The sequence below is a fragment of the Homo sapiens genome, chromosome 22, assembly GCF_000001405.40.
Source record: "Homo sapiens chromosome 22, GRCh38.p14 Primary Assembly".
Lineage (NCBI taxonomy): Eukaryota > Metazoa > Chordata > Mammalia > Primates > Hominidae > Homo > Homo sapiens.
The window spans coordinates 33,200,967-33,228,084 of NC_000022.11; the positions used below are offsets into that span (position 1 = coordinate 33,200,967).

The 27,118-nt window shown below is 43.6% G+C and overlaps 1 protein-coding gene and 1 long non-coding RNA gene across 7 annotated transcripts in view; both read right to left on the reverse strand.

Moving 5' to 3' along the window:
* Positions 1-27,118, reverse strand: part of LARGE1 (LARGE xylosyl- and glucuronyltransferase 1) — an 856,162-nt gene that overhangs the window by 134,304 nt on the left and 694,740 nt on the right. The gene's annotated exons all lie outside the window — the stretch shown is intronic.
* On the reverse strand, positions 13,176-20,819 carry LOC124905106 (uncharacterized). 2 transcript variants are annotated; one of them, XR_007068071.1, is made up of 2 exons: positions 20,636-20,819; positions 13,176-13,346 (listed from the first exon to the last, which is right to left on the reverse strand). It is a non-coding gene; the product is annotated as an uncharacterized LOC124905106 (long non-coding RNA). The 2 variants fall into 2 exon arrangements; XR_007068070.1 differs by having other exon boundaries at positions 13,176-13,349.

Genomic DNA, 27,118 nt, shown 5'->3' on the forward strand with positions numbered 1-27,118 from the left:
ATTATCTCAATGTTTTTTAAAAGGTCATGGTTGCTATGAAATGAAAGAAAAATAGAATAGGGCCGGGTGCAGTGACTCATGCCTATAATTCCAGCACTTTGGGAGGCCGAGGCTGGGGGATCACTTGAGGTCAGGAGTTCGTGACCAGCCTGACCAACATGGTGAAATCCCATCTCTGCTAAAAATACAAAATTAACCTGGCATAGCAGTGCATGCCTGTAATCCCAGCTACTTGGGAGGCTGAGGCAGGAGAATCACTTGAACTTGGGAGGCAGAGGTTACAGTGAGCTGAGACTGTGCCATTGCACTCCAGTCTGGGCAACAAGAGCGAAACTCCATCTCAAAAAGAAAGAAAGAGAGAAAGAGAGAGAGAAAGAAAGAGAGAGAAAGAGAGAGAGAGGAAGGAAGGAAGAAAGAAAGGAAAGAAGGAGAGAAGGAAGAAAAAGAAGGAAGGAAGGAAGGAAAGAAGGAAGGAAGGAAGGGAGGAGAAAAGAAAACATAGAACAGGTAAGGGGTAACTGAAATGGATTGGGCAGACAGCTTGTAATTTTGAATAGGGTGGTCACAATTATTTTCACTGAGAAAAGGACATTCAAGCCAGAATTTGGAAAGGTATGGGAGACGGTCTGGTCATCATCTGGGAGAGGTACTCCAGAAAAAGCAGAGGGACAGGAGGGAATTTGGGAAACAAGAAAAGCCCAGTGTGGCCTGAGTAAAGAAAGAGAGTGGAGGGGGCTGAGGGTCAGAGAAGTGATAAGGGCCAGATCCTGTTGGGTCTTGTAGGTCATCATCAGAACTTAAGCTTTTACCATGAACGAAATGGAGATCCGCTGAAGCGTTTTGAGCAAGCAAGTAGCCTGATCCAAGTTACATTTAAAGAATCATTCTGGGCTGGGCTTGGTGGCTCATGCCTATAATCCCAGCACTTTGGGAGGCCGAGGTGGGTAGATCACGAGGTCAGGAGATCGAGACCATCCTGGCTAACACGGTGAAACCCCGTCTCTACTAAAAATACAAAAATTAGCTGGGCGTGGTGGCACACGCCTGTAGTCGCAGCTACTCGGGAGGCTGAGGCAGGAGGATCACTTGAACCAGGGAGGCGGAGGTTGCAGTGAGCTGAGATCACATCACGGCATGATAAAAAAAAAAAAAGAATCATTCTGGCTGCTGTGCTGAGAAACGTAACAATTGTTATTATATTAAGAGCTTAGGTCTGCTTTGACATGAAGCACTGGGACACTAGAACAGAGAAAGAGATACTCTCCCCACTCCCAACTTTAGAAACTGGCCCCTAACAGGTGAATATGATCCACCGTTTCTGTACTGTGAGCAGAGTCTGTGCCACATTCAGCAAGAGTGGCAGGTCTCCTTGACCTCAGTGCTTCCCGGGGTGGACAGACTACGGCCACCTTATCTTTTTACACGAGAACTGTCCTTCCTCTCTCAGGCATGAAACCATAGGCCAGCTTGGCCATCTTAATCAAAGGGAACTTGAAGCCATTCATTTCATTCATTTTATTTCAAGAAGACATGAAATTATGTTTTATGCCAGGCCAATAAAGGATGACACATAATTTCCTTGGGCTTACAATATTTCTGCCTTTGGAAAGGTGTCTGAGAACTAAATAACCTGAAGTTTACTGTCTAGTACAGTGCAGATTGACAGTAGCTGCTCAATAAAGCATAGTGCCATTCTTCCTCTTTCTCATTCACCTTGACTTCCCCAAGGTCTTCATTTTCAGAGATGGCAACTGATACCTAGAAACCCCACGAAGTTCTACAGTGTTTACATCAATCCCTCAAATCTGGTTGAACCCAAGAGCCAGAGACCTGCTGATTTTTCTGGAAAAATGGCTGTCTTAAAGAAGAACCAAAGGACACAGTGGAAAAGACAGCACCTAAAAGTTAGCATGGATGGAAGGGAAAAGTTCCTGGAAAGCAAGGCATTAGCAGGAATTAGCTAAGTTCTTGTCCACCCTTTGCTAGTGATGATTCATTTTTGTAGGATAATAATATAATAAGACTTTAAAAAATAAAATTTAAAAAACATATCTCTGAAGTTTGACAGGCAAGATAGAACCTAGAAAAATAGAATCTAAACTCTCTCTCTCTCTCTCTCTCTCTCTCTCTCTCTCTGTGTGTGTGTGTGTGTGTGTGTGCAAGAGAGAATGAGAGAGAAAGAGAGAGACAGACAGACAGACAGAGAGAGGCTGGTGATTCAAGGTCCCAGTGCAGATAAACAGACTCACTCTTTCTCCTCCCCAAACAAAACTAGATTTTTTTATTTGTCACACTTGAAGCTCATCTGCTTTCCCACTCCCTCATTAAAATTCTGAGCTACTGCAAGACAGCCTCGTGCAGGATAATTCGAGCCTGATCTCCCAGGAGAATGCCGGGAACCAGGCTTGTGAATTAGCCTTTCCCCTTGGTGGGTGGACACTGCCACCCTGTGTTCAGATACTGGGAACCACTGAGCGGTGATCCTTTCCTCTGGCTCCTCAACTTCATAGTGCTTAGTCGATTCCCAGGTGTGCCCACAATATCAATATGTGTTGGTTATGGTGTGAAGGCTTCCACAGCTGTCAGTGTTTTCAGCCGGGGCATGGAGAGGTTGTTTATAGTGAGGGGAGAGGGAAATGAGATGAAGCTAGGGAGGCAAGCAGAGATGATAGAACGCATGCTAGGGAAAAACCCACGAGGAACTGCCCTGGATTTCCCCAGCAACTCAAGCATTTGGGTTTCTGTGACTTTGCTGCCGCTGCTACCTCTTCCCAGAATGCTTTTCCCACAGACTCTGCCTTGTGAAAGCCCACGCCTCTCAGAGATCTGGCTGAAGCATCACCTTATCTGTGAACCCCTGCCTGATCACCACTCCCCGGACCTTACCCTGGTAGAATCAGGGATTTCATTCTGTCCCATCATCGCCTCTTCCCTACACAACTTAAAGGTGGGTGTCAACATTTCCATACTTTTCTCCCATGAACCCTGGAGGCCCTGGAGTGTGACTGAACTTGTCTTATTGTTCTGTATGTCCCCAAGGCTTAGCAGATCTTTCATTAATATCTTTGGGAGAGCAAATGAATGAATGAGTGGATGGATGGATGGATGGATGAACAAAATAAATGGTATGCATATAACATTTGGAAAAATCAGATTAAAGCCTTTAAGGAAGAAAAATCAATGTTATTAGGAGAGGGGAGGAATAGAACTGAGAGAAGAAGTACCCGAATTGAGGGGCTGGAGAGGGCTGAAAACGGATAGGGAGTGTTACTGAGTTGTAGAAAATAACTCATTTCACCACCAGAGAAAGAGCTATTTATGTAATACTAGAATTAATATAATAATGGTTATTATGTCAGAAGCACAAGAGAGTCATAAAATGGCTTATTAAAAGGGTTGCAACTCAGATCACTAAAACCATCAGAGAGGATTCCAACTTTGCATTTCACTAAAATGTAAGACTTTTTGCTTGAAAACGTCTCATTTAATGGACTTATCAGCTTCCCAATCTCAATATCTTCAAGACTCCTATAAACCTCCACTCTCCCTGATTCTAGCACCTAATTAATCAAAGTCAAGCACTGTTATCCCAGAAATGTCTCTTAAACACCTTAAGCCACCTCCAAACACTTTCACTTCTCCAAACCTTTGAGCAGAAATGTGCTATTTCCTCTGCTGGGAGTATGTTTGAATCCCTTTTTTAAAAAAGGCTAAATTAGAGGTCTCCCTTATAGACTTAGCTTTGGGAAGAGCCTTTCCCATTTTCACACAGCAAAGGTGGCCATTCCTCAACTGTGTTCCCCTTGTGCTGTGTTCATGCCTTAATTCCAGCATTTTTTTTCAAGCCTCTATTGTAGGAATTACTATAGAAGGGTTCTGTTGAAAGTATCTTAACCTGCTCCCCACTGTCTGAAAGCAACACCAAGGAGGTATACAGCTTCAGTATCTTTGTAGTCTTCCGTTCTAGCACATGGATGAAATATAGCAAAAGAGTGCTCAGAACACATTTATGAAATAAATGAATAAAGAAATGAAAACGAATGGACAAGCATGGAGGACATATTAGGTTGAAAAAAAATAGCTTTACCAGTCTGTGTAGCTCCTGATCACAACAGTATATACTGGTCACACCTTGTCCCATTATTTCCACCCAAAATCATACTCTTTCTTTAAGACCTGTCTCAGATGCTACCCCCTTCAAGCTTCTGTCTGTAATTAATCAACATGCAGCCCTTTGCTTCTGGGCAATGCTCACATGACACTCATCATTTGCTACATTTTATGAGAGATCATGCACTAAAAAAATAAAAAATACCTAAAATAAACTGAGAGACTGCTATGTGCCAGCCACAGGGAAAGTCTCTTTCCAAAGCTGAGTCTCTAAGGTAGACCCCTAATTCAGCTTTTAAAAAGTTCCAGATGCTGAGCACAAAGAGTTGAACAAAATGAAAAAGGTCTCTGTTCTTTTGAAGCTTATATTTCAGTGGATGGAGACAGATAATAAATAGCACATAAACAAATAAATAAAAAGAGAGTTTCAGTGTTTTAAGGACAATAAAACTGGGTAATGTAATAGTGTTTCCCTCAGCATTCTCATTTGTAGCCAGCAGAATTCAGTTTCACTAAAGGAGAATTTATTAAGCAGGATTCCTTCAAAAACTCAACAGAAAGACCAAAGAAACAGGCTCTTGTCAAGTTTCCAGCAAAAAAATTGGACATTTCATCTCTAGCATATGACACATGTGGAGAGTCATTGATTTAGTACTACTCAAGAGGGGAGAAAACATTCATTGAAATCTGATCATATTGTGTGACTTTGTTGTTTTTTTCCGAGACAGAGTCTCGCTGTGATGCCCAGGCTGGAGTGCAATGGCCCGATCTCTGCTCACTGCAGCCTCCACCTCCCAAGTCAAGCAATTCTCCTGCCTCAGCCTCCTGAGCAGCTGGGATTACGGGTGCCCACTACCATGCCATGCTAATTCTTTTTTTTTTTTTTTTTTTTTTGTGAGAGGGAATCTCGCTCTGTTGTCCAGGCTGGAGTGCAGTGGCGCGATCTCTGCTCACTGCAAGCTCCGCCTCCCCGGTTCACGCCATTCTCCTCCCTCAGCCTCCAGAGTAGCTGGGACTACAGGCGCCCGCCACCACACCCGGCTAATTTTTTGTGTATTTTTAGTAGAGACGGGGTTTCACTGCGTTAACCAAGACAGTCTTGATCTCCTGACCTCGTGATCCACCTGCCTTGGCCTCCCAAAGTGCTGGGATTACAGGCGTGAGCCACTGCGCCCGGCCTAACTTTTGTATTTTTAATAGAGACGGGGTTTCACCATGTTGGCCAGGCTGGTCTCGAACCCCTGACCTCAAGTGGTCCACCTGCCTCAGCCTCCCAAAGTGTTGGGATTACAGGCGTGAGCCACCGTGACTGACCAAATTGCATGACTTTTTTTTTCCATTTTGCCATGCAAGTTTTCCCTTCCCTCCTGCCTTACTTACCTACAGATTCAGATTTTTTAAAAGGAGTTTATGCTTTCTATGACTTTTTGCATTAGGGTTGAAACTTTCAGTCACAAGTCGTTTGGGACAGATAACTTACTAAAGGTCTAGAACAAATGACCAGCCACCCAAGGACACATATGCAGGCTGGCATGCCTGCAGCCAGAAAGAAACCATATGGAAAGCATAGCACAGTCCAATAGGTCTCTGCTCCTCCATAGGACAGTCCAATAGGTCTCTGCTCCTCCATAATAACTCTCTTGGAGAAAAGTTGGGTTCTGTGTCTAGTGTGAAACTCTCATAAATAGTTTTTTGAACAATCATGTACTTGGTGGACTACAAGACAAAATGATTTTGTTTTTCTTCTATCAGTCTTCAAACAAATGCTGTTGGCTCCTCCTTTCCTGCTGCTTCATGGCATATTGGGCAGATCCCACAGGTGGTGTTAAAATGTCCAGCCCAGTTAGTCCAGTTTAAAATTTTATTTTTATATTCAATTCAAAGCATTTCCCCTCTCCGGTGCAGAACTGCCTTGCATACTAGGAAGCAGGCCCTTTTGATTCTCCTTCATTATGGGAAATAGACTTGTTGGTGATACTGGAAGCTAGTGCCCCAAAACGGAGCACAGTGAGCCTTAAGCATCCCACTTTGTAAAATGAAAGCATGGTTTTCCTCTTCAGGCTTATTACAATGAGGTAAAGCTAGTACTATGGCCAACACTCATCCATACCCTCTTCAGTCCAAAGAAAAGACTAGAAATTTGAAAAGATTGCCTAAACTAAATTACCATTCCCTTTTCCTCCTAATGCTTTGGAGTTCTCCAAGATCAGGATCTGAAAGCAAGGATTATGGGTAAGTGGCAAAAGCACTTTTACTTCGCAGCTACAGTTGACGCTTCTTCCCTAGCTATTTCAGTGCTTCCAGAGGTCCCTGAGGCTTCTCACTGCATGATTCTCTTATGTGGGAGAACCTTTTTGACTTGACTTCCTCCAAATATCTATTCCCCTTCTGCCCCCAGGTAATACTTTCCAAAATACCTTATTGCTATGGTACTCCTCCCCTGCTGGCCAGATTACTTGCAGGTAGGAGGGAGGAGCACTGGCAAGACAAGCTCGATACTGGCTGACTCTCAGTTTCCACATGGCCCATTGAAAACTCATGATCCTCACCCACCACAGAGTGAGAGCGTCGGCGACCCCATTATAAGCTTCTTTTTCCACCCAGCCATTGCTCTATTTCTTTCTTTTTCCTTTGCTCACACAGATTGAAGATTGGCAAATCCACTGCTCCAACAGATATCCAACAGGGCAAAGGGGATGCCAGGCTACCGTCTTTTAGGCATGTGTGGTCTCTGCAAGTGGTCCTTGCAGAATACTCCCTAGTTTGACTTGGGTGGGGAGCGGGCCCCATTAAGAAGGGAGGGGAGAGGAAAAAATAAAGTTTTTCTCCCCTAAAGGCACAATTACTCCATATTTTCACAAATTCCATTGAGTTTAGGCAATCTTTTCAAATTTCTAGTCTTTTCTTTAGACTGGAGAGGGTATGGATGAGTGTTGGCCATAGGACTAGCTTTACCTCATTGTAATAAGCCTGAAGAGGAAAGCCATGCTTTCATTTTACAAAGTGGGATGCTTAAGGCTCAATGTTCTCCGTTTCAGGGCACTAGCTTCCAGTATCACCAACACGTCTATTTACCATCTTATTATACCTGTTTAGATGCAGGTGTTCTAGAAAAGAGAGGAATTAGGGTGAGGATTTTAGAATTGGAAGGCCAAGGAAATGAGATCTATGAAAATCGTATAGGCCACATAGAACAGGCTGGAAGATCTCTCTGTGTTTTCTCTTCCAAGAAACTAAGAATATGTCAGTCCCCTTCACCTTGCATGGATGTTTTAGGTTTCAAGCAATCCAAGTCGTCTTCAAAGCTGCTTGGGTTTCTTAGCAATCAACAAGATAAGTACAAGGTAACTATGTCACAAAGATCAAACGTTGTTACTCATTGTAGTCACTGCATTCCAAACTTTCCCAGTGTAGTAGCCATTGGAGGTCTATGAGCATCCTTCTAGAAGAAAGAAGAGTCTCAAATGGACTCTTTACTAACCTTTAAAAACAAGTCACTTTTTTTTTTTATTATACTTTAAGTTCTGGGGTACATGTGCAGAATGTGCAGGTTTGTTACATAGGTATACACGTGCCATGGTGGTTTGCTGCACCCATCAACCTGTCATCTACATTAGGTATTTCTCCTAACGCTATCCCTGCCCTAACCCCCACCACCAGACAGGCCATGGTATGTGATGTTCTCCTCCCTGTGTCCATGTGTTCTCCTTGTTAAACTCCCACTTATGAGTGAGAAAATGTGGTGTTTGGTTTTCTGTTCTTGTGATAGTTCGCTGAGAATGATAGCTTCTAGCTTCATCCATGTCCCTGCAAAAGACATGAACTGATTCTTTTTTATGGCTGCATAGTGTTCCATGGTGTATATGTGCCACACTTTCTTTATCCAGTCTATCATTGATGGGCATTTGGGTTGGTTCAAAGTCTTTGCTATTGTGAATAGTGCTGCAATAAATATACAGGTGCATGTGTTTTTATAATAGAATGATTTATAATCACTTGGGTGTATACCCAGTAATGGGATTGCTGGGTCAAATGGCATTTCTGGTTCTAAATCCTTGAGGAATCACCACACTGTCTTCCACAGTGGTTGACAAAACATCACAAAAGTGCTGTGAACGAAACAAGTCACATTTTAACAACTATGTATTAAGCCCTTTACAGCTTTCATTGCTTAACTTTCTTTCTATAGCTCTTTTCCACCACCTTCACCCTCCAGAACTAACAAATGCAAAGGTAGGAGGTAGCAGATGCGATCTATGGTAATTTTCCTCCAACATTAGAGCTCTTCACAGTGATAGTATATTATGAGACTCACACAGGGTGCCACATAAAATGTATGTTTGTTAGATACCTTTCAAATTAAATTCAGTCACAGGAAAATATGATGTGGTGGGTTCAATTTCCACACTCTGACCCCTGCTCCAAAAAATCCATTGACTTTCCTTTATTCAGTTTTGCTCATAAAAACAAACTTCTAGAGTACATTTCAACTGCAATTCAATTGATAAATATTTGCTCTATGTACAATATCTGGATTCATAATCACAGCCTACAGTAGCAGTTCTCAATCGTTTCTTTTAAATAATAGAGACAGGGTCTCACTCTGTCTCTCAGGCTGGAGTGCCATGGTGTAATCACAGCTCACTGCAGCCTCGACCTCCTGGGCTCAAGTGATCCTCCCACCTCAGCTTCCTGAGGAGCTGGGACTACAGGCGTGCACCACCAGGCCAGCTAATTGTATTTTTATTTTTCTGTAGAGATGGGGTCTGGCTATTTTTTCCGGGCTGGTCTCGAACTCCTGGCCTCAAGGGATCCTCCCACTTCAGCTTCCCAAAGCAATGGTATTACAGGCATGAGCCACCACGCCCGGCTGTGGTTCTTAATCTTAATCTTGGCTCTACATTAAAACTACTGGGGGATTTTTCAAAACTCTCAGTACCCACCCCAATCCTCTACTAATTCACACAGAAGTTCTTGAGGGTGGGACCCAGGCATCAGTTTTTTTAAAGCTTTCCTGGTATGCAGCCAAAGTTGAGAAACACTATTGGAAAGTCATCCAGAGCCGTGTTCTCCAGATCCAGGAGGCTGTCGCTTTCCATTAGCTCCTTCTCAACCTTGGTCCTTGACCCAGGGGTCCCTACCAGCCGCCCTCCCGGCCTCCACAGGCCTTTGGGGCGTGTATCCTTGTCCTCTTTGCCCTCCACAGAGCATGGTCTGGCAGATAGACGGGGGTGGCACAAGGGTGACATCTAGTGGTTTAAAAAATGAAGTTAGCGTCTTAATGGTCCCATTCTCTGAAAAATGGCAAGAGAACGACACCGGCGGAACCTGGTCTGTGTGCCGCCTGGGATTGGCTCAGCCATGGTCTCCTGTCCTCTGCAACTGACGATGCTCTAGGAGCCCTACAGGGCTGAACCTCATTCTTGGAGGCCTCAGAGGGAGGTCCTCCTTGAACTCAGTCTTAGCCTTCATGCTGTTTTGCCTACCCCGCCACCAGGCCCGCTGCTATGGTGGCTGTTCCCTGCCCTTAAGTCACCGGCAGACGTGGCCTGATGGCACCTAGCCTCAAGCCTGACCCACCATGCCATGCAAGCTTCCACCCCTGTTGCCATAGAGAAGCACTGGGCGCTCACACGCACACGGGCTCACCTGGCCTGGTTCCTTGGGCTGCAGGTGAATGGTGGACCTCTCTTCCCTCTCTGGCTCTCCCCTGTTCCCAGGCTGCCCCTATGCTCTGGGCCTCACACCACGGATGCCTCTGCGGCTCCCCCAAAATGTGGGTGAGTCATTGCCCCGGGGCCTTGCATTCATTGGCTCTGGCTGCCGTAACAAGGTACAGGCAGACCTCGTTTTCCCGCACTTTGCTTTATTGAACTTTGAAGATAGTTGTGTTATTTATAAATCGAAGGTTTGTGGCAACCCTGCATTGAGCAAGTCTATCGGTGCTATTTTTCCAACAGCACGTGCTCACTTTGTGTCTCTGTGTCACATTTTGGTAATTCTCAAGTATTTCAAACTTTTTCATTATTATTATATCTGTTACAGTGATCTGCGATTTGTGATTTGTAATTGTTTCGGGGCTCCATGAACCATGTAAGACAGAGAACTTAATCTATAAATGTTCTGACTGGTCATTCCCTCATCTCTCTCCTCCTCATCGGGCCTCCTGAGACACAATAGTATTGAAATAAGGACAATTCATAATGCTACAAGTGTTACACTTAAAAGGCTCTAAGTGTTCCAGTGAAAGGAAGACACACACCTCTCACTTTAAATCAAAAGCTAGAAATGATTACACTTAGTGAGGAAGACATGTTGAAAGTGGAGATAGGCCAAAAGCTAGGCCTCTTGTCCCAAACAGCCTAGCTGTGAACACAAAGGAAAGGTTCTTCAAGGGAATTAAAAGTGCTGTGAGGCTGGGCGTGGTGGCTCAAACCTGTAATCCCAGCACTTTGGGAGGCCGAGGCGATGGATCACCTGAGGTCAGGAGTCCGAGACCAGCCTGGCTAACATGCTGAAATCCCGTCTCTACTAAAAATACAAAAGATTAGCCGGGCGTGGTGGCACACACCTGTAGTCCCAGCTACTCGGGAGGCTGAGGCACGAGAATTGCTTGAACCCCAGAGACGGCGGCTGCAGTGAGCCGAGATCGCGCCACTACACTCCAGCCTGGGCAACAGAGTGAGACTCTGTCTCAAAGAAAAAAAAGTGCTGTGACTCCAGTGAATGCACACATGATAAGAAAGCCAAACAGCCTTATTGCTGATATTGAGAAAGTCTGAGTGATCTGAATAAAGATCAAACCAGCTGTATAACATTCCCTTAAACCAAAGCCTAATCCAGGGCAAGACCCTAACTCTCTTCAATTCTGTGAAGGCTGAGAGAGGTGAGGAAGCTGCAGAAGGAAGTTTGAAGCTAGCAGAGATTGGTTCATGAGGATTAAAGAAAGAAGTTGTCTCCATAACACCAAAAGTGCAAGGTGAAGCAGCAAGTGCTGATGGAGAAGCTGAAGTTATCCAGAAGATCCAGCTAAAATCACGGATGAAGGTGGCTCCACTAAACAACAGATTTTCAAGGTTAAAAAAAAAAAAGCCATCTAGGACTTTCTTAGCTAGAGAGAAGTCAATGCCTGGCTTCAAAGCTTCAAAGGACAGGCTGCCTCTCTTGTGAGGGGCTAATGTAGGTGGTGACTTCAAATAGAAGCCAGTACTCATTTACCATTCCAAAAACTTTAGGGCCCCTAGAATTATGCCATATCTATTCTGTCTGTGCTTTATAAATGGAACAACAAGCCTGGATAACAGCATATCATTTACAGCATGGTTTCCTGAATATTTTAAGCCCAGTGTTGAGAAATATTATTCAGAAAAAATATTTCTTTCAAAATATTACTGCTCATTCACAATGCTTCTGGTCATGCAACAGTTCTGAGGGAGATGTACAAGATTAATGTTGCTTTCATGTCTTTTAACACAACATCCATTCTGCAGCCCATGAATCAAGAAGTACATTTAACTTTCAAGTCTTCTTAAATAAGAAATACATTTCATAAGGCTATAGCTGCCATAGACAGTGATTCCTCTGATGAATCTGGGCAAAGTAAATTGAAAATCTTCTGGAAAGGATTCACCGTTCTAGATACTATTAAGAATATTTGTGGGCCGGGTGCGGTAGCTCATGCCTGTAATCCCAGCACTTTGGGAGGCCGAGACAGGTGGATCATGAGATCAGGAGATCGAGACCATCCTGGTTAACACGGTGAAACCCCGTCTCTACTAAAAATACAAAAAAATTAGCTGGGCGTGGTGGTGGGCACCTGTAATCTCAGCTACTTGGGAGGCTGAGGCAGGAGAATGGTGTGAACCCAGGAGGCGGGGTCTGCAGTGAGCCGAGATCGTGCCATTGCACTCCAGCCTGGGTGACAGAGCAAGACTCCGTCTGAAAAAAAAAAAAAAAGAATATTTGTGATTCATGGGAGGAGATCAAAATATCAACATTAATAGGAGTTTGGAAGAAGTTTATTCCAACCCTCAGGGATGAATTTGAGGGGTTCAAGATTTCAGTGGAAGAAGGAGTTGCAGCTGTGGAAATACCAAGAGAACTAGCATTAGAAGTAGCGTGTGAAGAGATGGAGTTGCTGCAGCCTCATAATAAAGCTTGAATGGATAACGCGTTGCTTCTTATGCATTAGCAAAGAAAGTGGTTTCTTGAGATAAAATCTACCCATGGTGAAGCTGCTGTGAACATTGTTAAAATGACAACGAGGTATTTAGAATATTACATAAACCTAAATGATGAAGCAGTGGCAGGGTTTCAGAGGATCAACTCCAATTTTGAAAGAAATTCTACTGTGGATAAAACGCTATCAAACAGCATCTCATGCTGCAGAAAATCTTTCATAAAAGGATGAGTTGATCAATGAGGCAAACTTCATTGTTGTCTTATTTTAACGAATTGCCACAGCCACCCCAGCTTCCAGCAACCGCCAACCTGTCAGTCAGCAGCCATCAATCATCAAGGCAAGATCATCCGCCAGCAAAAAGACGATGATTCACTGAAGGTTCAGATAATTGTTAACATTTTGGGGGCAATAAAAATTTAAAGTATATGTAAATTAAGGTCTATACTTTGTCTTTTTAAAATATAATGCAATTGCAAACTAAACAGACTGCAGTATACTGTAAACATTACTTTTATATGTACTGGGAAACCAAAAACTTTGTGTGACTCACTTTATTATGATATTTTCTTTTTCTTTTTTTTTTTGAGACGGAGTCTCACTCTGTCTGTCCCCCAGGCTGGAGTGCAGTGGCGCAATCTCCGCTCACTGCAGGCTCCGCCTCCCAAGTTCACGCCATTCTCCTGCTTCAGCCTCCTGAGCAACTGGGACTACAGCCGCCCGCCAGCACGCCTGGCTAATTTTTCATATTTTTAGTAGAGACAGCGTTTCACCGTACTAGCCAGGGTGGTCTTGATTTCCTGACCTCATGATCCACCTTCTTTATTGCAATGGTCAGGAATGGAATCTCCAATGTCTTCAAGGTGTACCTATGCCACAAACTGAGTAGCTTAAACAGTAGAAATTTATTTCTCACAGTTCTGGAGGCTACAAGTCCAAGATCAAGGTGTTTACATGGTTCCTTTCTTCTGGGGTCTCTCTTCTTCACTTGTAGATGGCCATCTTCTCCCTGTGTCTTCAGATGGGTTCTCTTTGTGTATCTGTGTCCTCGTCTCTTCTTCTTATAAGGACACAAGTAATACTGGATTAGGGCCCAACCTAAAGAACTAATCTTAACTTAATTGCCCTTTAAAGTCCTGTCTACTACTTCAACATACAAATTTGGGGGGCCGGGGGGAGCAAAATATATAAATAATAGGCATGTTTGGTCAGTGTGAGAAAGGTGCTCAAATAAAAAAATTCCTCTCCTTTCTTTTTCCCATCATGTATTTGGAGACACAGTCATTTAAGCAGCCCTTCTGAGAACGACCTCAGAGACCAAGGAATCTCCTGGCCCTTTACAAAGCTGTGGCCAGTCGCCAGCACACTCTTCTATCTGCTCTGCCTCCTTCCTTGCCACACTCTCTCTTTAATCTCATACCTACTTGGCTGAGAGAATGGTTCCCTACTGAAGTGTGTGCATGCAGGATTTTCCTTCAGGTTCCATTTTCGAGGGAGCCCGGTCTTTCACATGAAATTATCTGTTTTCGCCAACCTAAGGCAGAATTAGAATTTTCTGGGGCATTGACTTTGCGATGTGGCTTTATTCCTTTATGTTACAGCCTGGCCTCAGCTGGGACAGCTGAGGAGTGCTGGGCCAGAAAGCAGGGAGTAAAGACTTGAGGTGGCCCTGCACAGCAAACCCCAAGGTCCCACGAGCACCCTGGGTCCTCCTGGTGCCCTGGAAACCATTCTGCCCCCAAGGCCCTACTCTGGGCCTACAATGGGAGGGGGAGCCTCAAAAATCTCTGATATACTTTCAGGGGCATTCTTCCATTTTCTTGATGTCTAGAACCTGGCTTTCTTCTAGCAATACTAAACTCCATACCAAATGGTTAATTGGCCACACCTTGATTTTCTCTCCAAAATGTGCTTCTTTCTTTATATCCCTTGTAAGCTGTATTCCTAGGTATACAGCACTAAATGCCACCGTGCCCGGCCTTACAGTCCCTACTTTCTTGTGATTCTTGGAGTCACCTTTCAAGTAAACTACTTGCACCAGAGGTCTAGTTTCATGGTGTACTTTTAGGGGGAACCCAAACTAAGAGCATCACTTTATGTTTATAGGTTATTTATTTATTAATAACAGGTTGTTTCTATTTTTGCCCATTTTCCTATAGGGATGTTTATCTTTCCCTTTTTAACTCATAATAGTTATTGTATATACTAAATATTGACCTTAATTATTTATGTAGAGAGAGAATATTTTATCCCAGTTTGTGATTATCTTTCCACTTTTCAATGGTGTCCCTGATGAGTAGAAATTTCAAATGCAATGTAGGAGAAACTGTCAATAATCTCCTTTATGATTTGTGTGTGTGCTTTTTTTTCCCTTAAGACATCATTCTTGAAGTCATAGAAATATTCCTCGTCTGTTTAAGGCTGGGCGTGGTGGCTCACGCCTTTAATCCTAGCACTTTGGGAGGCCGAGACAAGTGGATCACCTGAGGTCAGGAGTTTGAGACCAGCTGGCCAACATGTCGAAATCCCGTCTCTACTAAAAATACAAAGATTAGCCAGGTGTGGTGGCGCATGCCTGTAATCCCAGCTACTCAGGAGGCTGAGGCAGGAGAATCAGTTGAATTTGGGAGGCAGAGGTTGCAGTGAGCCGAGATCATACCACTTCACTCCAGCCTGGGTGAAAGAGCAAAACTCCATCTCAAAAGAAAAAAATTATTCATCTGTTTCTAAAATTGAGATTTCTAATTCAGCTGGAATTGGTATTTATTTAGTGGAAGGAAAGGATCCAATTTTATTTTTTTCCATATAGATAATCAGTTGTCTCGATGCCTTTTACAGAATACTCCTTCCTTCCTGCATTGTTCTTCAATACTAGCTCTGTCACGTGCTAAATGTCCATATGTGCCTGGGTCTAGTTCTCTTTTTATTCTGCACCATTGTTCTGTTTGCCAGTTCCTGCACTAATAATACCACATGCTATGGTCTGAATGTGCCCTCCCCCACAAATTCTTGTGCCAAATCAACAGTGTTGGGAGGTGGGACCTAGTGAGAGCTATCCCACTCTCTTGAGTGGATTAAAAAGGGCTTGGGGGGCTGGGCGTGGTGGCTCACGCCTGTAATCCCAGCACTTAGGGAGGCCGAGGCAGGTAGATCACAAGGTCAGGAGATCGAGACCATCCTGGCTAACACAGTGAAACCCCATCTCTACTGCAAATACAAAAAAATAAGCCAGGCTTGGTGGCGGGTGCCTGTAGTCCCAGCTACTTGGGAGACTGAGGCAGAAGAATGGTGTGAACCCAGGAGGCGGAGCTTGCAGTGGGCGACAGCGTGACACTCCATCTCAAAAAAAAAAAAAAAGAAAAGAAAAGAAAATAGGGACAGTAAGACAAGGATTGTAGAAAGCAAAACAAAAACAAACAAGAATTAATGATCATTTCACCATGGAGGGCAACAGAGTAAAGCCCCAGTGATACTCTCTTGAGATACCATGTAGCACATGACCCCACACTGTCCCACAGAGGAGCTATCCCATCTGCTGGGTAAAGCCCTCAGGCAGAAAAGAAGAAAGATACATGCAGGAGACTGCAGTGGGAAGCCAGCATAGGGCTTGGACATGTGGGAGCTAGAGGCAAACTCAGGTAAGGCAAGGAAAATGGAGCATTTGCTGCAGGTGCTCAGTCTCATTAATAGGAAAACGTAGATGAAAACAACAATAAGCATTTCACCCTTCTAAGATTGGCAAAAGTTAAAACGTCGGACAGTACTTAGGGTTGGCAAGAATGTGGAACAATGGGGACTCTTTCATGAAGGCTAATCAACAAGGATGGATAGAACTGGACAAGACTTTTCTATGCAAATGAAGCTCTCCCACATGTACACAATATTCATAGCATCATACAAAAGAATCTGGAAGCAACCTAAATATCTATCAACAGTAGAGTGAATAAATAAATTATGATAGGTAGTTAACAATATCTAACAGCAAAAAAAAAAAAAAAATAACGAGCAGTAGTTCTCCAGGACTGATAGCATTGGCATCGTCTAGGAACTTATGATAAATATTCATTCTCAGGTCCTTACGTAGTCCAACTGCAGAAACTCTGGGGGTTGAGCTCAGCAATCTGTGTATTACCAAGCCCTCCAGGCAATTTTAGTGCACACTAAAGTTTGAGAACCACTGAAGTTGAGCTATGGCAGCACAGATTAGTCTCCCAAACATAATGTGGGGCAGAAAGTCAGGTGCATGATAATACATTCATATGACACCATTATAGAAAATGTTTAAATATTCACTATATTATTATATTGCCCATGAATGCATACATGTGAAGTAGTAAAATGAAACAGAAATGCATGGGAACGATAAATACTAAGTTCAGGCTGATGGTTGCCTCTGGGAGGGAAATGAATAGGATATATAGTTTGCAGGAGTATACAGAGGACTTCAACTATATTGATAATATGGTATTCCTTAAATAATTTACTGTATTATTCCTTATAATAGGAATAATGGTTTAAAAAACATATAACATGAAATTTACCATCTTAACCAGGATCTCACTGTGTTGCCCAGGCTGGTCTTGAACTCCTGGCCTCAAGTGATCCTCCCCTACTTAGCCTTTCAAAGTGCTGGTATTACAGGTGTGAGCCACTGCAACTGGCCTTATCATAACTTTTTTTTTCTTTTTTTTTTAGATGGAGTCTCACTCTGTCGCCCAGGCTGGAGTGGAGTGGTACAATCTTGGCTCACTGTAGCCTCTGCCTCCCAGGTTCAAGTGATTCTCCTGCCTCAGCCTCCCAAGCAGCTGGGATTACAGGTGCCTGCCACCATGCCCAGCTAATCTGTGTATTTTTAGTAGAGGTGGGATTTCATCATGTTGGCCAGGCTTGTCTCGAAGTCCTAACCTCAGGAGATCCTCCCACCTCGGCCTCCCAAAGTGCTGGGATTACAGGCATGAGCCACCATGCTGGGCCCCATAACTTCTTAATTATCTTCTTGAATACTTCATTTTTCTGACATTTAAGTCACCATCACTCACCTATATATTCCAACCATATTAAACATCCTCTGCATATTTTTTGTCCTTTCTCTCTGCCATGCCTATATGCATACCATTGTTTTTGCTTGGAATGCCCTTATCTCATACCTTGCATGCACAAATACTATTCATCCTCCAAAACCCAGTTCATAGGTCAATTCTTTGAAGTCTTCCCTGATTTCAGTATTTGCAAGTGGTCTCTTCCCTCTTCCAAATCCCCATAACACTCTAGCTTCTCCTTTTTCGTGGTACTCACATCTGACTACCTTGTTGTCTGTACATGCCATGATCTCCTTGGGACAGAATTCATAACTAAGAGCTAAAATGTATTGGGTGCCTACTGTGTGCCAGGCACTGTACATATAGTACTATATTTATTTGCTCATATGATCCTTTTATCAACCTGATGAGGTAGGCAGTGTTAGCTCCATTTTACAGATAAGGACAGTGAGATTTAGAGACTCAGCCAAGTTTACACAATGTGGCAGAGAAGGCTGTGGTCTGGCAAAATGTATTGTTTCATTGCCATAATATAGAGTGGTTGCATGGAAGCGGAACCTAACATGACTATTCCCCAGCCACCTGGCATCCAGGCAGGACCTGTGACTAGTTCTCAGCAATAGAATCCAAGTGGAAGTGATGTGTGTCCATTCCAAGTGAAGGTATTTAAGAATCAGTTGTGCCTTTCCCCACTTCCGCCTTTATCTGCTATCTGGATGCAGAGAACTCTAAGGAGCCCACCGTAAAGAAAGGCTCTTGAATCTCTCTGACTACACCAATCAACCAGGAATATCCACCTGGAAGCACCACCTACATGAGAAACAAATGTATTGAGGCACTGAAATTGGGGAGTTTATACAGCAGCTGGCATTATCTTAACTAATTCAAACAGCTACCAAGGGGTGGAACTAGGCTTCAGACTGAGAAAAGCTTATTTTAGAGGCTGTGATTGGTATGAATCCATATCTATAAGATCAGAAGCCTGCACTTTTCACCACGAAGCCAGTGTCTCTCATCGTGTCAGTCAAAGGTCATTTCTACAAGGATTACAAAGCTGCCTGTAAAACATGTAGACATGGGACCTCACTCCAGATTTTCCAAATTAAAATCTTTGGTATTTGTGACAAAAATCTGCCTTGTTAACAATCTTCCCAGGAGAACCTGGTGTACGCTAAATATTGAGAAACTTTTCTATGAATGATATTGTCTCCTTCCTAATATTCAGCACAGTGTTTTACAGAGAATAGGAGATCAGGCAGCATTGCATAGGTGAATGAACAAAAGTGTGAGCCAATAGGGCATTTCTGTGGAAAGGGACCCCAAACTTTCCATCTCTTCTGGATCCTAAATCCAGTGCTGATTCCTTAAATCCTATTGGACAGCATCCCTCAGGATTCATTCTTGAGTCAGAAAGGTGTTCAACCATTGCCAGAAGTGACCCTCTACTATTCATGATGCTGAAGCCTCACTTTGAAGCTGCCAGAACTCAGACGCCATGCCTGGTGGATTTATTGCCCAGCCTGCCCACGGAGCAGGTAATTAGTTTGAAATGGAGAGCAACAATGAAGGTCAAACTCCCCCACTGTCACAAGGGACAGTTTGTTCCCAACAATTTCTCTCATAAAGGACCTGGAATCCTCCCCTCACACAGCCTTAGTCCTGAGAAGAGAGAAAAAAAGAAAAGAAAAGAAAAATACTTTCTCATAAAAGTCCACTCTAACCTTGATTTTTGTTGTAGCATTCTACAAGGGCTGATAACTGCTGGGATAATACAACGGATGGTGAATTTGATTCAATCCTGAATTCCGCTGCAGAGGGCTCCTGTGAGAACCGCTAACCTATCTTAATGGAAGAGGACAAAGAAAGGTCACCTTTGGATTTGTGAGGTCACGCACAGCTCAGGAGGAATGAAATTTACTGAGTTTGCTGCCAGCTCAAGCCATTTTCTCAAAATGACCATCTCTCTAGGGAGAGATATTATGCTCATACTGTTAGAAGCTCGGAGGCTAGGTAATAAAACAATATATGTTTGCTGTTTTGTCAGCTTTGGTTTTTGCTTTAGCAGTTGTTTAAAACGTGAAAAAAATCAAAGAAGAACAGAAAAATAAACAAGCAAAAAGACTAAAGACAGAGGGAAATGGAGAGTCAGCATACGAGGGGGAAAGAGCAGAGTGAATATAGAGACAGATAAAAGAACAGGGTGGAGTGAAAGGGGAAAAAAATAGATTCTACCTCCCTCCTTTTTCATTTGAAGAAAGCTTGTACGTCAGCTTTTCACTTTCCTGATCCATAAAAATTGTCAGTGACCCTGTTTCTTCTCTCCTCTGAGCCTGGAACAGGTATTGAGGGATAATCTTAGAAAGTTTTAAATTGCCTGAGCACGGCGCTGAAGCTGCCCATTGACTACTGGGAGTCTGGTGTGTTCAACAGAGGATGCAGCACAGAAAAGGAATCAATCTCTGAATCTTGTACCTTTATCAGCCCATGCTGGCTGCCCTCCTCCCTCTCCTACCATCTCCTGGAAGAGCTTTCAGCTGAATCCTTCATGTGCACTCTCTCGGATAAACAGTTGCATGTAATCCCTTGCTATGCAGGGGACAGAGATTCGGCCTTGCATGGTTAGAGCAAGGATTCTGGGCTCTGATTTCCCCATTCCTCCCTCTCTTTCTCACTCCCACAGGAATGAGGCCCTGAGAAACTGGAAGGTCAGGGAAGATTCCTGTGGGACCCCCACAGGAAGATTCCTGGGTTTCCCCCTCAGCACACCCTCCCCAGACACACCTGACGGCAAAAGCAGACATCCTCCTATCATTAAGAAACTTATAAAATTATAATGTCCTTCTATCTTCAGCTTAATACCTTGCCGTTGTTAAAAAGAGAGAGAGAGAGAGAGGGAATAACACAAAGGAATTAAGCAAAAGGCTATTTCCACACACGATTCTGATTACAAATTTAGTGCTGTGTACATCTCTAGCAAGGTCAATTACAAACATCGAGGGGAAATGCCTGTGCCGGTTTTTTTCCGTATCTCAATTCTCTCTCTCCTGCCAATCCTGATATTCTTCTGCAAGGGACCACCTGCTGAGTAAAGGTTGGGACATAGTTTTAAGTCAAAAATTTTGCTGCTTCTTAGCATTAAAAAGATGCAAGTTATTTAAAACTGGGTATACATCTTCAAGGTCACTATTCTGGAATTTAAAAATCAAGCAAATGTTGAGTCATCAAAGGAAATTTGCATTTATTTCAATAACTGAGGAAAAACGACTAGAAAAAATGTAACCCAGCTTTTAGATGGATATCTCCTTACCCCCAAAAGATGGATTTATATCGGCTTATACCTCTCCCCAGTCCATGGCCTGTGGAAGTCCAAAGCTCTTTTCTTGTGTTTTTGAAAATTCTTGGAATCTTCCTTTTCCATTCCCGCCTCTACTTCCTGGATACTGACTCATTGTGGACTGCCTCTTTTCTGGGCTTTGGGTTGACCCAGATATGAAACTTCCTGAAACCTCCACTCACCAAATAGGAACCAGCCCCACCAATCATCTGTGAACACTAAAGTCTTTACTAAAGATTTTAAAAGGGAAAGGAGGTTTATATGACAGCAATAAGAACACCACAGTCCTCCCCCTTCTTAAAATATCTATGGGCGGGCTACATATCAACTAAACATTTTCACTGGCCCCTCAGCTTGTTCCACTTAATTCTGCTGGCTCTTTGCCATTTTTCTCCCTCCCTCTCTTTTCCTTCCTACCTCTTTCTGGAGCATTAAAATGTAATTTCTCTCTATTTCCACTAAAGCCTTAGCTCTAGCCAGCATGTGGGTTGGGTGACAAGGGAAGGACTCACCAAGGAATCATTTCGAACACGATACTTAAAATACATCTAAGAAAAAAGAAAAAGGGCAGAGAAGTTGGTGGTCACCACTGCGTAGGACCTTTCTGTGCCTCCAGGGTGCTGCACCTGAGTGCTCCAACAGGAGAGACAGCCAGGGTTAGGGGTGAGGGGTCTAGAAGGGAGGGTTACCAGCATGAGCCTGGGGTCTGCACTGCTGAGAAAGAAGGGCCTTGGGGGAGAGCATTTATCCTCCATTCTTCATGTTTTCATATTGCAGCATGTTGAATGGTGCCCCCCCACAAAAAATATGTCTATATCCTAATTCCCAAAATGTGCAAATGTGACCTTCTTTGGAGAAAAGGTCTTTGCAATGTAATTAAGTTAAGGACCTCGAGATGACATTATCCTCGATTATCCGGGTAAGCTCTCAGTCCAATAGCAAGTGATGTTGTAAGAGTCGGAAGAGGAGACTCACACACAGGAGGAGAAGACCATGTGAAGACAGAGGCAGAAACTGGAATGAGCAGCCACAAGCCCAGGAACCCTAGAGCCACCAGAAACTGGAAGAGGCAAGGAGTAGAGCCTTCAAGGGGATCATGGTCTTGCCCACACTTTGATTTGGGACTTTTGGCCTCCAGACTGCAATAGAATAAATACCTGTTGGTTTTGGCACCTGGTTTTTTGGCAATTTGTTACCGCAACCCTAGGGTACCTCATTCACACCTAGAGGGGCCTCCATTTGAGTAATGTTCCTGGACTTTTTCCCCAGAGGGAGCAACATGACTTAAACTACAGAGTTGCAGGCCCCCCCAGTCTCCCCTAAATGGGGTCTGCCTACCTGCACCCTTTTTCTCACCTGCTCGCTTACGTGTTGTAAAGAGCCTGCCCCTATCAGGGGAGACGCATGGGTGTGAAGTTGTGCCAGCAGCTGGATGAATAAACGTGCCTTATTCAGGGTTAGTTAGCAAGATCGCTTTCCAACAGGCTGACCCACTTTACTCCAGTATCATTCATAATAACGGTGATAGTTTCATCTCTATCTGCCTGATTCTTTGGCCTCTCAGGTGGAGAAAGTAGACTGTTATTCGTTCGCTTCCTAAAGCCTTGAAATAAGTCAAAGGGGCAAGGCAGAAGCTTGAGCAGAAAATGAGCCAAGAATTTGATGGTAGGCAACATCCAGATTTAAAAAAACCGTGATACCTCACGTGGTGCCTGCCAATTGGGCATTTCAGGGATTGGCCTGTGCATTTGCTATAGGCACCTTTTCTTCAAGATACTTTACTTCCATCTACTAGAAAATGGTTATAGTAGGCTGATTGGGATAGAACCAGAGAGTTTACTTTCATCTGCCTGGAATCGCCACAATTCAGGTGCAAGCAATGCCTAAGATGAGAATGACGCCCTCCAGTGTTGTGTGGTGCCCAATCTGTCCTGTGGTCAGTAAGTGATGGTTCTTATACCATATTAGGGAAAAAGGTGATACTCATATGCCACATTTCTCTCTCCCTCGTTCAACAGAAGCAGCCCTCATGCAATTCAGCCCCTCAGAGGTCACCTACTGGATTAGGCTTGCATGTCAATGACTCGGTTTAGACTCAAGGAACCGTACTTGTTATACACTTATCTAAAAATGTCAAGTTCTGCCTGGACCAGCCTTTGACATTATCTTACTTTAGGTCTGGTACCAGACCCTTCCGCTTAGAGTCACAAAGCACCTGGCCCTGCAGCTTGTTTTTGCTATAGGACAGTCAGTCAATCCCAAACAATTCACAAATGCTCACCCAGCCCCACCATTGGTCGGCATCCTCGTATGCTCACAGCCACCTCTATGCCCCCAGCTCTGCAACAGCCTAGCACAGTGAGGGGCACATAGAAAGTGCTCAGGATGGGCGCGGTGGCTCACGCTTGTAATCCCAGAACTTTGGGAGGCCGAGACTGGCAGATCAGGAGATCGAGACCATCCTAGCTAATGCAGTGAAATCCAAAAATTAGCTGGGCGTGGTGGTGGGCACCTGTTGTTCCAGCTACTCGGGAGGCTGAGGCAGGAGAATGGTGTGAACCTGGGAGGCAGAGCTTGCAGTGAGCCGAGATCGCGCCACTGCACTCCAGCCTGGGTGACAGAGCAAGACTCTGTCTCAAAAGAAAAAGAAAAGAAAAAAGAAAAAAAAAGAAGGTGCTCAAAAAGTGCTGGATAAATGCCCTGTATGACTAGACAGCTCAGCTTCCTCCCTGAGTCAAATTTGCCTACATGGTATTTGTTCATAGATTGCCTTCATGACTTTTTCCATACCCATATTGTGCCAGCGCTATTATCTCCTTTAAATTGACTCACTTTTTGCCTCAAGTGATTTGAGTAAAAAACCTAACCTAAGGAGAAGCTCTATATTCTAAGAGAAAACAGGTGTCTTTCTACTACAGTAAAGTGTTCAGTCCAAGTACCATGGAAAACCATATCATCTATTACCTGTTGTGCACATATCACACTTTGAGTAGTGTGGGCCTAGGACTCGGGTCCACCGTGACCTAAACCGAGATCCAACAAGCTCCCTGGTGCCAGCTGAATAATGCATCTCATCCCAACCTGCATGCCTTGTCAAAGGCAGCACAGAGTGTCACACTTGTTAGCAACAGGACAAAAAGATGCTGGTGTCTAGAAGAACAAGGAGAGGCAGGACACAGGCTCACAGGATGTCAGCCCCTGTCAGAAGAAGACAGAGCCAGGCCTGTCAGCCAGAGGAACTGAATCAGAACAATTATTCAAAGTCATTTGTTTGGAGGACAAGGGAAAAGAGATTGATTTTTCTTCTTTTGCAGGAAATGCTTAGGTGAGCACAGACCCTGCTGGGTAGGCAAGCACCTGCCAGGTCGCTGACTGGAAACCCAGGTAATTCTATACTCCACATTTTCTGGATGAAGGTTCCTCTGGCATGGGCTGTCAGGGATGTCAAATGGCTCATTGAGAAAGCCTCTGCTCAGCATGCCAACAGAAGACACTGCTTTTCCACATCTACTCTGATGTCAGGGAAGAGGTGTCCCTGGGTGCTACAGCCGTGGGCATGATAGAGACCAACCAGGAGAGGCAAGGTAGGACGGTCTGCTTGGCAAAGCGGTTGAGGCTGTTCTGGGCCTGGGAGCAGGACACAAGGAAGCCACTGCCCTCTCGGCACTAGTTCTGGGTGCCTTGGGAGGACCTTAGTTCACAAAGGATACAAAAGAAAAGTAAGGAGATCAATGATTGAGCATTTACAATGTGCTGGGCACTGTGCTAGCTGCTTTAAGAATAAACATTGGATGCCCATATTCTACAGATGTTCAGAGTTAAGTCTTTATTTTTAAATAATCAGATAATATAAGCACTCATCCTACAGCTTGCTGGAAGGCCAGGGCATTTTCCAGGCATTTCTCTTTTTTTCTTTTTATTTCTTTATTTTCTTTCTTTTTTTAAACTTTTATCTTAGGTTCAGGGGTACATGTGCAGGTTTGTTATACAGGTAAACTTGTGTCATGGGGGTTTGGTGTACAGATCATTTTATCACCCAGGTACTAAGCATAGTACCCAATAGTTATTTTTTTTCTGACCTTCGCCCTCCACCCTCAACTAGGCCCCACTGTCTGTTGTTCCCCTCTATGTGTCTATGTGTTCTCATCATTTAGCTCTCACTTATAAATGATAACATGTGGTATTCTATTTTCTGTTCCTGAATTAGTTTGCTAAGGATAATGGCCTCCAGCTCCATCTATGTTCCTGCAAAAGACATAATCTTATTCTCTTTAATGGCTGCATAGTATTCTATGGTGTATATGTACCACATTTTCTTTATCCAGTCTACCATTGATGGGCATCTAGGTTGATTTCATGTCTTCACTATGGTAAATAGTGCTGCAATAAACATTTGCATGCATGAGTCTTTATGGTAGAATTTACATTCCTTTGGGTATATACCCAGTGATGGGACTGGTACATTGAATAGTAGTTCTGTTTTTAGTTCTTTGAGGAATTGCCACACTGGCATTCTGAGAATTTCCAAAGACTGCTTTATGTTTCAAAAATCTTTTTGCTGCTTGTCACCTCTCCTATTGGGCTGCTTCTCTGAGCTTAAGTCCATTCACCATGGTTGCCTTGAAATCATGTCTCTGCATTGCCACCAGCCTCTCAGGGCCACTTTGCACATTGCTATATCTATTTCTCCACCGTAGTAGAACCGAAGTTCTTCTCGAAGTCCCAATACACAGCAAACACAAGGTCTTCAGGTTGGATGTGTTTTGCCAAAGTGCAAAAACAAAATGAGGACATTACACTGTGACTGGATGTCAGGCATCATTGCTTCTAGGACACATCCACCCTGTCCCTTCCCAGGAGGTCACTCCTGTCACCAGGACCTAAAGCCACTGACCTCTAGCCATGAGGAGCTCAGCCTCACTTATCTACCCAGACAAGAATCCTCCTTTTAAAGTCCTACAATTACAATTCCAACACCTTCTCATTCTCTGGGCCTGACAAGAGGAAGCAACAAAATAAAAAACTTAACGAAAACATCTCACTAGAGATGCACCCACCTATGATGAAGATAACCTTTAAATTATTATTATTATTATTATTTATTATTATTTTTTTTTTTGAGACGGAGTCCCGCTCTTTAGCCCAGGCCGGATTGCAGTGGCACAATCTCGGCTCACTGCAAGCTCCACCTCCCAGGTTCACGCCATTCTCCTGCCTCAGCCTCCCGAGTAGCTGGGACTACAGGCGCCTGCCGCCGCGCCTGGCTAATTTTTTGTATTTTTAGTAGAGACGGGGTTTCACCGTGTTAGCCAAGATGGTCTCGATCTCCTGACCTTGTAACCTTTAAATTATTAAGTAGAGGTTTTAAATAAGTGTCCAAAGCATATGCATTTGAAACTCACCATTCATCTTTAACTCTGAGTGACTATATTTATTTATTTATTTAACAGATCCTTACATAAACACCTTCTAAGTGACAGCTACCAAATATTAGCTCATTTAATTTTTATAGTTATCTTATAAGATAGTGTCTATTTTTATGCCCATTTGACAGACAAAGACACTGAGGTACAGACAGCCTTGCCCAAAGTCATACAGACAGCTAGTGGCAGATTAAGGTTTACAGCAGGTCATTTGGCTCTGTAGTTAGTGCTCCTGACTACTAGACCATGCTGCTCTGCAGTGGTTCCCTTCTGCACAGAGGGAGGGCCAATCCCAAGGACAAACCCAAGCTTAAACGGTGAGGCCTTAGAGAAGAAATGATGTGTCCACTCTTTCCATCATTAGGGGTTCAGAAGTACCATGACTCAGACATGGAACTGCCTACCCTAGTTACATTATCTAAATTAGTCTTCAAAACAGCCCTACTAGTTTAACTCTCCATTGTTCACTCTACAAGTGGGGAAACTGAGGTACAGGAAGCAGTGAAGCTTAGATTTGACCCCAAACCTGTCTTTTAAAAATATGCTCTTTCCACTACACAGAACATTGTATCTACAGGATGCTACCAAAGATCATTTTAAAATTTGCTTTATTTCAAGTCTCTATCTGCAGTTCTAAGAACTGAAGCTTTTAGAAGAAATAAAGCTGGATCTAAAAGAAAAAGTTTCCACAATGCTTAGCTGCACAAGTAGTGTGCTTGGAGCTATGTATGGGGAAAAAAGGACAATTTGTCATGGTTCTAATTAAAAATGTAAACCTTTGGGCTAGGCACATTCCTATGCAGCTTACTTAATGTAATTCTTGCCTGTAGGTTTTCTTGTTCATCCATCATCTATTTGCTCATAGTCAGCAAGGATCTATTTTAAATGCATTCTTCTTCCCCAAAGATAATGATGATGATGACTGTAGTAATGGTAATAATGTCAACATATTTCTATTCATTCATTCAACATATATTTATTTAAGTGCTCACTTAAATAAGCATGAGGCTGTAGCATTAGAATGCCCAGATTT